General features: G+C 39.1%; 1 protein-coding gene across 1 annotated transcript; it reads left to right on the top strand.

Annotated features, from left to right (window-relative positions):
- Positions 1-2,576: 2,576 nt before the first annotated feature.
- On the top strand, positions 2,577-11,019 carry AVPR1A (arginine vasopressin receptor 1A). Its single transcript, NM_000706.5, has 2 exons — positions 2,577-3,911; positions 6,133-11,019. Exons 1-2 carry the CDS (start codon positions 2,942-2,944, stop codon positions 6,417-6,419), a joined length of 1,257 nt encoding a protein of 418 aa, NP_000697.1. The 5' UTR covers positions 2,577-2,941; the 3' UTR covers positions 6,420-11,019.
- Positions 11,020-12,689: the final 1,670 nt, after the last annotated feature.

Genomic DNA, 12,689 nt, shown 5'->3' with positions numbered 1-12,689 from the left:
TTTTTTTCATTATTTCACCCCTAAAATTTGTTAACTGAAGTCTACAAAGAGTAAGAGGGAAAAGGTAAGTCTTAATAATACAAAAAGTACAGAGAAAATGTAAATTGCTCTAAGAAAAAGCACAAGGTGCCACATAAAATATTGTCTGTTGTGTTTTCTTTTTCATATTTTAAGACCACAATTATTTTACTCTCTATGGGGTAATTTAATAGCAGGTCCAGTGAGGCATATGAGTAGTGCCTCATATGTAATAGTCCTGCTTTCCTTTGTATATAAAACCAGTTAAATTAAGTCAAAAACATGTTTAAAACTATATGGATTAAACAAAGGGACTGGTTCTACAATCTGCAATGAACATTTTTTTTTCCTGCTTTCCAGGCCCCATGGCATCCAGCACAACCAGCGAGAGACAGATAGATGGATGATAGATAGATAGATAGATAGATAGATAGATAGATAGACAGATAGATAGATGATTGATTGACACATGATACATAGAATGGCCAGATGCATACATATAAACATACATCTATGTATCAAGCATATATACATTTGATATATATGGATAATTGGTACTGTTGTCACTGAACAATAATATCTTCCAACTGTATCCACCAACATAACTTGAGAGGTTATTTTTATAATTTGGATAATTGGATATAGTTTTATAATTGGATCAGATTGTCTGACACAGATGATTTCCTGAGAGGCCACCACCCTATCTCCTGGAATAAGAACCTCCACAGAGATATTGGTGAGCCTGTATTGCAGATTTCCTCTCCTGAAAAAAACCTAAAAGCTCAAGTGTGTAGGGCCAAGAGCCACAAAATTACTAGGCTGTGGCCAACAAACCACTTTTGCAATACCCAGACACTAGGTTCAGTCAACATTCTTTCTCATCAGGAGCACTAATAGTGTAATTTGTGACTTAAAAGAAAGTGAATTCTCTGAGTCAGTGACTATTACCTAATTGCTTGAAGGATTTTTTCCAGACAGGTGGTCTGGAAACCTTTTACCTATTACCTTCCATCCCTGAACCATTTCAATCTTCTGCCTCCTGGATATCTTGGAGAAAATGAACCAACACAACACAGCTTTCAGTTTTTAGAGCATTTCCCCCATACAGAACATTGTCTTACTTGATCTTCCCGATGACCTCAACAACAGGAAAGGCAGGTCCTTTCATTTCCATTTATAAGACGCACAGACCCAGGATTATCTAGCCACAGGAAGCAGGACTCCAGATTTCAAGTCCAGCATCTCAACGTGACAACCTTGGTAACTCTGCATGAACGGACTGGATAGTAAAGTGGAATTATTACTGAGAACTGCAATGAATAAAATCTTTTGCATTTTTTGCCTACGTTTCACAGAGGGTGATATTTTTCTGAGGCAATTAAATTTATACCACGGCCACAATACTGAAACGTTCTGACCAACAAAGTCATGCTCCTGCATCTACACAGCAGATAACTGCAGAAACGGCTTCCTTTCTTCCTTGTAAAATTGCCTGAAAACAGCTCCCCCTTGCTGTCCGTCGAGGCATATCTTCACCAACGTTAAAACAGAGCTGAGGGAGATCGCATTTCTGCCTCCCTCCCGCCCTGCAGAGGGGCTCCAGCTGTTCAGAGTAACGGATTACTAGGTAGGTGGTTGTTTCCCCTCCTTCCCAGGGCCTCTTTCCTCTCTTTGAGATTGCCTCTTTCTTACTCCTGAGCACAGGAGCCGGGCGGGTTTTCTGTCCCTTGCCCTGGACAGCACTGCCTGGATGGCCGCTGTCCGGCAGCTGCTCTTTGTCCACCCAAAAAGATGTCCCCACGACTCAGTAGTAACCAGACGGTCCCCACGGACCACTGCGGCCAAATTTCCGCCATCCCCGCTGTGGGAATCAGGCTTTTCCCGCAGAAAACCCCAGGAATCTAGAGAAAACTCCTTAAGTCCCTAGTCTCCATAGAGAAAACCAGGAGACACTCCCCCCAAACCCCGCTGTGAATACAGGCACAGCAGCCACTGGGGCTGCAAAGTGATGAGTGCGTTCTTCCCGTCGCAAACATAGGGTAATAAATAGCATGCATCAAAGACGTTACTAGGAAGAGATAGCTCTTTAAGTCACGAGCGGGGAGAAATGTTTGCCCCGGGAAAATTTGCCTGGGGAATAAAATTTGCCAGACTGCTGCACGGGTGAGCTCGGTGAGAAGGAAGAAACCCGGACTGGAGGAGGTGAGGTCGAGAGCCAGGTTCAGGTGCAGGAGCTAGATGCGTGGACGCCGGTGCGTGGACTGGAGGTTTCCAGGTACCGCGCTTAGCGTGCCTGTTGAAGTCAAATGCATGGTTAAGGAGGCTAGCGAGGAAGGCTAGTGAGGGAAGCTTGTGGAAACGGCTACGAGCCCAGAAAAGGCATGACTCGTCCAGTTGTCCAAGTTTTTGGAAGGGAAAAGCGGGAAAGCGCCACGATCCCACCTACTGTGAGGAGGAATCTGCGAGTCTCCCAGCTCCACCCCCTCCACAGTGATGCAGAGGACAAACACCGACGTAGGGAGAGGAAAAAATAAAACTCCAGGGAGCGGGGAGTAGGCAACCAGCAGTCTTCCGGCAATAGGGCGGGAGGGAGCGCGTCCCAAGGAAACAAGCACCGCATAAATACTTGAGTTGGGAACCCAGTGCTTCCGGAAGCTCGGAGCTCACCTTCCCGACCTCGCCGAAGTTGAAAAAAGGCAGAGCAGGGAGAGGGGCCAGCTCACCCTGCTGAGAGCTGCTCAGTGGGCAGGCGGGACGCTGCTCCGGGAGACGCCCACTGGAGGGATCGCAGAGCCCGGCAAGCTGCGAGCGCGCCAAAGACCCTGCGCTTCGGACGAGGAGCCCAAGTCCTCCGAGACGGGGAGGGAGCGGCCCGCGAGGGCTGGAGCTCCGAAGAGGGCCGAGTAGGAGCTGCATGGACAGCATGCGTCTCTCCGCCGGTCCCGACGCGGGGCCCTCGGGCAACTCCAGCCCATGGTGGCCTCTGGCCACCGGCGCTGGCAACACAAGCCGGGAGGCCGAAGCCCTCGGGGAGGGCAACGGCCCACCGAGGGACGTGCGCAACGAGGAGCTGGCCAAACTGGAGATCGCCGTGCTGGCGGTGACTTTCGCGGTGGCCGTGCTGGGCAACAGCAGCGTACTGCTGGCTCTGCACCGGACGCCGCGCAAGACGTCCCGCATGCACCTCTTCATCCGACACCTCAGCCTGGCCGACCTGGCCGTGGCATTCTTCCAGGTGCTGCCGCAAATGTGCTGGGACATCACCTACCGCTTCCGCGGCCCCGACTGGCTGTGCCGCGTGGTGAAGCACCTGCAGGTGTTCGGCATGTTTGCGTCGGCCTACATGCTGGTAGTCATGACAGCCGACCGCTACATCGCGGTGTGCCACCCGCTCAAGACTCTGCAACAGCCCGCGCGCCGCTCGCGCCTCATGATCGCGGCCGCCTGGGTGCTGAGCTTCGTGCTGAGCACGCCGCAGTACTTCGTCTTCTCCATGATCGAGGTGAACAATGTCACCAAGGCCCGCGACTGCTGGGCCACCTTCATCCAGCCCTGGGGTTCTCGTGCCTACGTGACCTGGATGACGGGCGGCATCTTTGTGGCGCCCGTGGTCATCTTGGGTACCTGCTACGGCTTCATCTGCTACAACATCTGGTGCAACGTCCGCGGGAAGACGGCGTCGCGCCAGAGCAAGGGTGCAGAGCAAGCGGGTGTGGCCTTCCAAAAGGGGTTCCTGCTCGCACCCTGTGTCAGCAGCGTGAAGTCCATTTCCCGGGCCAAGATCCGCACGGTGAAGATGACTTTTGTGATCGTGACGGCTTACATCGTCTGCTGGGCGCCTTTCTTCATCATCCAGATGTGGTCTGTCTGGGATCCCATGTCCGTCTGGACCGGTACGTGCCGGGAAAATAGAGGAAAGTGCAGGGATAGGAGTGTGTGTGTGTGTGTGTGTGTGTGTGTGAGAGAGAGAGAGAGAGAGAGAGAGAGAAAAAAATGAGAATCTAGCAATTTTCTTCATAGTATCTTCTAGGGCAGTAGTTTTTAAACTTCTATGTGTACATAAGAGTCGCACCTTGGAGGAACACTGTTTAAAAAAAAAAAAAGCATATTCCTGGATTCCCCATGCAGACATTCTAATTAAGAATGTCTGGAATGGGGCTCAGGACTCTGCATTTGTAGTGTGCAATGATCCTAAGACCACAATTCCAGAAACTGTGTCCTAGAGTCAGCCAAGCAACTACAAAGCCGAAGAATGACTTTTGCTAAATCACTAGCTACTGTATTAACACCATTTCAGGTCTATTGGATTCAGGGAAATATTTTTACTGTCACAACTGCTTTTTGTTGGATTGTGAAAAGTATTACAATTAATTTTAAAAATGTGTAGAAATGCCTCAGGGGCAAGGATAGAAACAGATATATATTTCTAAAGAAAGCTGGAGAAAAATTCTTTAGAAGGTGAGTAATTCCAATTTGGCATTTAGCTAATAATGTTCCTTTCTCGTTATAATCTATTTTTTTCTAACAATGATTAATAGTTTTTTCTTGGTATTTCAAAGCAGAATTATTGATAAACTAAATTCATTAGACTAATTCATTAGTCTTTCACCACTCATTTGACCACACGGCTCTACATCTCTCCACCCAACTCTTACAGTAGTTTACTGGAAATGTTCTCTGCACCTACTATTGTGTTTGATTTTAATTCCTTCCCAAACTAGAAAAACTAACTTCACAGTGACTTGCAAAAAAAATTATTTAATTTTGCATCTTGAAAATATTTTCTTCTAGTAAAGACAAAAACTCAAACTAAATAAATTCCAGTGCTTGTCGGAACTCAAACCAAATAAATTCAATGGTACAGTTGTTACCAGAATGTTTCTGGTAACAGGAAATAGGTATCTGGGAGTAGCTGTTCTCCTTTTGCTTTTTGGAATTGGAGTAGGGGAGGTATGTAATATGCTTTGGAAGTTATATTTGCAAATAAAACATTTCAGTATGAATTTAACTTAAATATTCTTACTGACTATAATACTAGCGATAATGAAAAATACAATATAAACACTTTATTTTTGGTTTGCTATTTCTTATCTTGCTTGATCTTAGAAGCCTCTTCATATTGTCCATCAAATAAAGAAATTCAGTCTAATTATTGCTTTAGCAGAATTTACACTCAAGTAATAAAAACTTCAATTGTGCATAGATATGTTGGTAATTTTCATTCTTTGTGAATACCATCTTACCCATGGCTCCTGATCACCTTTGATAGCAGCATCTTAGCACTAAGTATGATTAAATAATAACCTGTAATTGTTTTCTGGCATAACAAGAGTGAGAAGATCCAAGTTTATATTTAATAATCAAGGAAAAGTCAGTGTTTATTGATTATTCTTATTTTTAGAAAAGGTATATTATCAGCACTGTAGCTCCACTGTGAAAGGTTATAATATTTATGCAGTTTACCAGTGCTAATTATCATAAAATATTTTAGAATCCTGTTGGAATTTCCTAATTCTACTGTTCTTCTTAATATAATTTGTTTGAACCACAACCACAGATGGTTTTCCAAATTTCTAACCAAAGAAAAACAACTAAAGCTTATATCATCCAGGGACTTCTTCTGTATGGTTTTCATATTATAAGAATATTTAAAACTACTAAACTTGATCCCTAATGCAATATTTTTTCCTGAGTTATTAGGATAAATACAATTTGGTATACATGGTTATTTAAAATTATCTTAAAATTTCATTACAATTGTAGCCATTCTGTAACTGCTGTGTCATTAGCACATGCTAGTTCGAGTATAGAAGATAGAGATTTTTTAAATCAATTACTTAATAGTCTTAACCTCGTAAAATTCCCACTCAATTCTATTTAAATATTTTGATAGTGTTTTAAAAATACTTGAATTAATTTTAAGGCATCTTGCTTACAAAAATATTTTATAGTCAAGCAATTTTCAAACACTCCCCATTTCCCTGATTGATAAACAAAATAGTTCATTTTCTATGATAATCCAGAAGTTTATGCCTTCTTAATTAGTTAATAGAAAAATGAGTTTATCCATGGTTCACTTACATTACATGATTTCCCTTTATATTTTTCATGCAGAATCGGAAAACCCTACCATCACCATCACTGCATTACTGGGTTCCTTGAATAGCTGCTGTAATCCCTGGATATACATGTTTTTTAGTGGCCATCTCCTTCAAGACTGTGTTCAAAGCTTCCCATGCTGCCAAAACATGAAGGAAAAATTCAACAAAGAAGATACTGACAGTATGAGCAGAAGACAGACTTTTTATTCTAACAATCGAAGCCCAACAAACAGTACGGGTATGTGGAAGGACTCGCCTAAATCTTCCAAGTCCATCAAATTCATTCCTGTTTCAACTTGAGCCTTGCATTCATGCAACTTGATTCTTGTGATTGACTTTTTGGCTCATTAGCTGAATTGAGCTAGAAATCACAAGAACAAATACACTTTATTAATATAACCATAAATCAATTCATTGTGTATGAGACTGTGTTTCTAGTTGCATTTTCATATTGCTACCAAAAACTAGACATTATTTTGTATGGAATATTAATGGAAACATGCTGTACTAAAATATGCAGGTCTGATTCCCAGAAATACAACAGAAGTTATATTTTTAAAGGAAAAATCATAACCACCCTAGCTTTATATTTTGTTGTTAGTTTCTTTTATTTTCATTTCTAACATAAGTAAGACTTGATTGGTTTAAAAGTCACATAAAATGCGGCACTATTTCTGAACAAAGAGAGCTCATCATCAGTCTTAATATTCAGAGAAAACTTCAGAGAAATTATGTTTTCATCCATTAAAATTAATTTGTGCATCAGAAAATGCAGCCTTAAACAGTGTCCAGGAGATGGGATGGTACCTCCTAGGAGTACAAGTGCCTGGGGTGTAATGAGCTCCTGCTCATTGTGGCCAGTTTAGAGTTCTATTAGAAGCTATCAATCACCTTGCATTTCAAAATGGTAACTTTACAACTGGCAGTGGCCTCCTTTTGGTTCCTCACATATTATTGGTCAAGAAAAGCATGAAAACTGAGATGCTGAAGGTGAGAGGAAATGTTGACTGGCCAAAAATATCTTTTTTCCCCCACTGCGAGGTTGTTTTAAAGTCAGATTTGTATAAGGAAAGCCAAATTTTATTAAAAGAGTAGAAAAGGATTGCTTAAGGTACTCTGGACTTTCTCTTGGACATTGTAAACGTATTTTGATCAGTGTTACAAGGGTATCCTGTGCTATGCTGGACATTAACAAGATCATTATCTTCATGTTTGGGGAATTCAGATTCATAATATGAGTATCCTAAAGAGTGACTCAGGATATAAAGTGTCCCAACATGTTTAATTAAAAATAGCTTTGTCTTTCCAATCTCTCACTCATCTAACAATTGCAAAGCAGAGATGAGACAGGGTTGGGACATGGGTGACAGATGGAAAGAGAACTGCTCTGTGCCCAGACTGGCTTCCTTCATTATTAAATCCACAACTTTAGGCAAGTTTCTTAAACACATATAAAGCCTCTGTTTCCTTGACTTACCGTGGGGTTGATAACACTTACCTCACAGGGTTGTTGTAAGGACTAAATGAAATCAAATATGTTAAAAGAGCTTCAGAAATAGTAAAGTACTATACACATGCTAGCAGTTGCTTTTATTATAGCCTTGGGATCTCCAAAATTGCACAGATGTTTTCCAGTTTATTTTTCATTAACTAGAATTGGTTCATTTCATGGCTGGGATATAAAATCCTAAAATTTAAATATAGATCGCTGATTCATTGGACAACATTTCCAGTGACTGCTCAGCTTGACTTCTCCTGCCTGACTAAAGTTTTCCAATTTAAAGACAGAACTTGCTTTTCTTTGAATGCAGGTAGATCAAAGCCACCCACAAGCATCAATTTTTTCCATTTTTAAACGGAGACCAATTACACTACTTTGCTGTTATTACATTTTTCATTAATGGAACTCAGTGATTTTTTTCCTAGCTATTTTGTCTGGCTGCTTCTTCTTCTTAGAGATCATGCAATGATTTGAGGATACATCATAAATATTTTGCATCCTTAAGAGGAAGTAATAGTTGCTTTTTTTTTTTTTGAAACAGAGTCTTGCTCTTTTGCCAGGCTGGAGTGCAGTGGCGTGATCTCGGCTCACTGCAACCTCCGCTTCCTGGGTTCAAGCGATTCTCCTGCCTCAGCCTCCCGAGTAGCTGGGACTATATGCATGTGCCACCACACCCAGCTAATTTTTATATTTTTAGTAGAGATGGGGTTTCACCATGTTGGCCAGCATGGTTTTAATAGTATTATTGAGTTTCTTTTTTTACCTTTGTAGATAAGAAAATGAGAACTGGATAGCACTGTGAGAACCCGGAAGCGATAACTTCACTCCTCTTCATTCTTCTGCCTTTTGAAATTCTCAGCCCTTAGGCTCCTTGTATTGATAGGCCTAAAAACATGTTTCCAAATGCTTTATAGAGATTATAAACCTAGGGACTCCCTAGGTTTTCAAATTCTTCTTTCTAAAAATAACAAATATGTCTCTTAAAGGGTACTGTCCAATATAAGCCATAACTAAATTAATTAATTCATTATTTGAGTTAGAGTAGCATCTCAGTAACCCAGCACTCGAAGACTGTCAGTCCTTTTAACAACTCTTTGATAGTTCAAAAACTAAAGCTTTTTGGTTTGGAACTAAGATGAACCCATTTTTTTCTAAATCCATTTCCAAAGTAAGAACCTCAGAACCTATAGATCTTGCTTCAAAATGTTGATATGTACCCCCAAGCAAAACAATTCAATTTGAATGTTATTTCTGAGAACAGCTCACAAAAAAAAGTGCATATCACCCTACCCAGTTGTATTTTCTCCTTTTAAATGTATTGGGAGATGAGACAGTAGAAAATGGGCTGGGGAAACATGAGATCTGGGTGCTAGTTCTGCACTAGGCAAATACATGGTCTTATTCTCTGCGGTTTAGGCTGAGAAGTTTCATCTGTCTGGTTGCTAAATTTTCTCAATGTTATGTACCCAGAAATGGACGCCACATATCTCAAAACAATATTTCAGATTGGAAGGAATCTACCTGCCTGTCTGTTTCAGAAGAAGAGAAACTGAAAAAGTATTCCGGGAAGGGAAGTTTTCCTTTTCTTGACTAAAGAGAAGACCTGAGATATTATGCCAAATAACAGCTTACAGTCAAGAAAAAAATGTGTTGCAGCACCTTATTTTATTTTTCACAGTTAACAGTGGGAAGATCCTGCAAGTACACAATTTTAATGCCTCTATATGGGTATTAGGAATGTGATATATAAAAAATGTCCAGTAGGGAGAAACTAATCAGTTGGGCATTTGATGAATATTAACTGATGATGGTAAATAAACAATTTAGAGTGCATTATTAAGTGCTTAATGGGTTAATTTTGGAGCATGTATTCTAAAGTGTAAAACTACTTGGCTTTTATTTTGAAATTTCATTTGGAACACAATTGTGAAGGAAATCAGTGAAATTCTTGGGTTAATTATATACTTGTTTTACATATAGAATTTCTATCATCATCAAACAAGTCTTATGCCATGATTTCGGGAAGGGTATGGTTTTAGAGAAAAAAATACTAAGCAGTCTTAATGATACACAGGACCCTGCCAAGCTTATTACAGTTTCTAGAATGGACAACTACTAATGATTAAGAAACAACTTTCATCTGTTATTACACAAGAAACCCGATTAGGTTAAAGTTTGATGTTTTCAGACTCTAAAGCCTATGTTTTTGTAACTTAATTGGACTTTCAGAGTGTTAAATTATGGCTTCAGAGTTTGGCTCTACCTAAAATTTAGTTAGATGCCAACCAGGGAGAAATTAAACCTAATCCTTCACCCCAAATATCAGAGGTTAGACAAACCCATGTTAATTGGAGCCTTATGGTTATTCATATTGGAGGCAATAGCTTTATTTAGAGGAAGCCCAGGACAGGGCCGTCTGGGATGCTAGTTCTGGAAATGCAGAAGCAGCCACTGTATCCCTGCCCACCCCCTCCATCCAGCCCTTTTGGTACTACTCAGTATTGTTGACAACATTTGGAATCATAAGTAACATAGGACAGTAAGTATTAGAGAATGATTCTCCGTTAGAATTGGACCTCAGCCGATTTGAGCCAAAATTTAGGAACTATTCAGAAGACAGTTTCTTTCTTTTGAGTGCTTAAGACAGTGTAAATGGTTCGAATCACACACATTTTAAGATTCCATTGTATACATAAGCATTTTAAGAATATTGTTTTAACATAATTATTAGGCATACTAAGTTATCATGAATGAAAATGTACATGTGACCTGTAGTATGTTATATATTATTATGGCTAAATGTTAAATGCCATTTTTTTGCTTTTTAGTTTTATGTATTTTTGTATGTATATACCCACATTTTTACATTGATTTATGTTCTAAATAATAATTAAAACAAAGTATTATAAAATGAATGAAATATTTTTGTGTTCCATGGTCAAATTATTAATAAATTCAGGAAAGAAAATCTGATGATAAATCTGATATAAATACCAGAATAATTATTATTAATATAAAATAATATTTTCACATATGAAGGTATGTCTTCATACTACAGGATTTCTGACTTGAATATATTCTATAATGCTTTAATTCATTACCATAACAAATGTACTAAGAATTAATGTTGCATCTTTAGTATTCCATTTTTTGGAACTGTTTTTCAAATGTTCTATATCCTCTAGCTTATTATGCTATCTAAAATAATTTCAGTGTGTTTTTTCCTGGGGCAACTGAATGATTCTTGTTTTGAATGAGTGATAAAATGTTTTGTGATAGTATCTAATATTTGGTCCTTTACAGAAAAAATGGCTTGTGGTACTATATTGAAAAAACTATTGTATTTCCTCAATTTTACTGTGTGTTGTCTTGTTTCTATAAACAAAAATAAGTTTTGGATTTGTTTGAAATAATTCTTTTACAACTTATTTGACAATGAAATATATTTCAAGTTAATTATTTTGACTTTGAAAAACTAAAGACTGGTTTTACAGTTGGTAGCTATTGATAGGTTGATATTTGAGCACAAAAATGTTTGTGCTTTAGTGACCATAGCAAGAATAAGTGAAATTTGTAACTGCCCTTTCAATAAGTTATAATTAAGGAATCAAATCAATTTTGTTATAGTCTGTATTTAGACAACCAAAATGATCGAGGTTAGCTGACGTCATGTTTGTCATTCAGCCCTAAAAAACATCATCTATGTGCATTTATTTCTTAATGTTGGTAAGACTGACTTCTGGGGCCTAAAGATTAAAAATGTTCCCATTTAATAGTCTTCAAAATTAGAATTTTTTCCCAGTAGACTAATAAGTTTAAATTATATTAACTGTAGAATTTATATTGTCTAACTTTTTTTTCTTTTACAAGTTGAATCTTAATAGAACAAATTAAAATATTTATTTTGGGTTTGGCTTAAACCATAGATGCAGGGAATGCCCAGAATGGAAGAAAGAGAATTTGAAGTATCTATTTTAAAATACCACTGTTATTTCAAAAGATTTATAAGTGCCTAAAAATAAACAATATTTGTACCAAAGACATTTTCACAAAGTCCTATGGATCAGATAAAACTAAAATAATAGTTTCATTGTACACCAGAAGAGACTCATAAAGAAATTTATAAAGGAACATTTTTAGTGCCAGTCATATAAAAAATGTTCAATTAATGGAATTAATATAGATATTCTAAATCCATATATATATACACACACATATGTATATAGTAATCCATATGTGGTATTATAAAATATTGTGAATGTTTACAATAAAAAGCTTTAATTACAAGAAGCAGTAATGTACGGTGACAAAAGTACTACAGGAGAGAATCAGGAGCTGTGGTATTTCTACCATCTATAGGCAAATGATAGTAGGAAGTTCACTTTAATGCATCTGGGCACTTTGGTAGGCCGAGGCAGGCAGACCATGAGGTCAGGAGTTCGAGACCAGCCTGGCTAACATGGTGAAACACCGTCTCTACTAAAAATACAAGAATTAGCCAGATGTGGTGGCCGGTGCCTGTAGTCTCAGCTACTTGGGAGGCTGAGGCAGGAGAATTGCTTGAACCCAGGAGGCAGAGGTTGCAGTGAGCCGAGATCGCACCACTGCACTCCAGCCTGGGTGACAGGGCAAGACTCCATCTCAGAAAAAAAAAAAAAAAAAAATCATCTTGGTTGAAAAAAAAAAAGGATTTAGAGATTCAAGCCCAAACTTAAAATAATTCTAATAGAAAGGCTTTGTCACCACCGGAGTAATGGACGCTAGTCCTTAGGCACAACACAGTGGGACTTCAACAGAACTTAAAGTATATGTCTATAACCCCCCAACCCCTGCCAAAAAATCCAGATTTATGGTTCACCAAAGTATCCATGTTTTTACAGCATCCCCATCCCATAAGCTTGTGTCACATAAGTAGCTACAGCCTGGAAGAATGTCCCTAAACTGTACCTCTCTGTGCTCACTCTTTCCTTTAATTTTCAAGTAAAGTAGTTTTAGCCTTATCTCATTCAGTGTGCAAATCCTGTGCCTATCCTTAGATTTTTTTTTTATTATACTTTAAGTTTTACGGT

Source organism: Homo sapiens, chromosome 12 (genome assembly GCF_000001405.40).
Source record: "Homo sapiens chromosome 12, GRCh38.p14 Primary Assembly".
NCBI lineage: Eukaryota > Metazoa > Chordata > Mammalia > Primates > Hominidae > Homo > Homo sapiens.
This window is presented reverse-complemented; position numbering and strand designations above follow the sequence as displayed.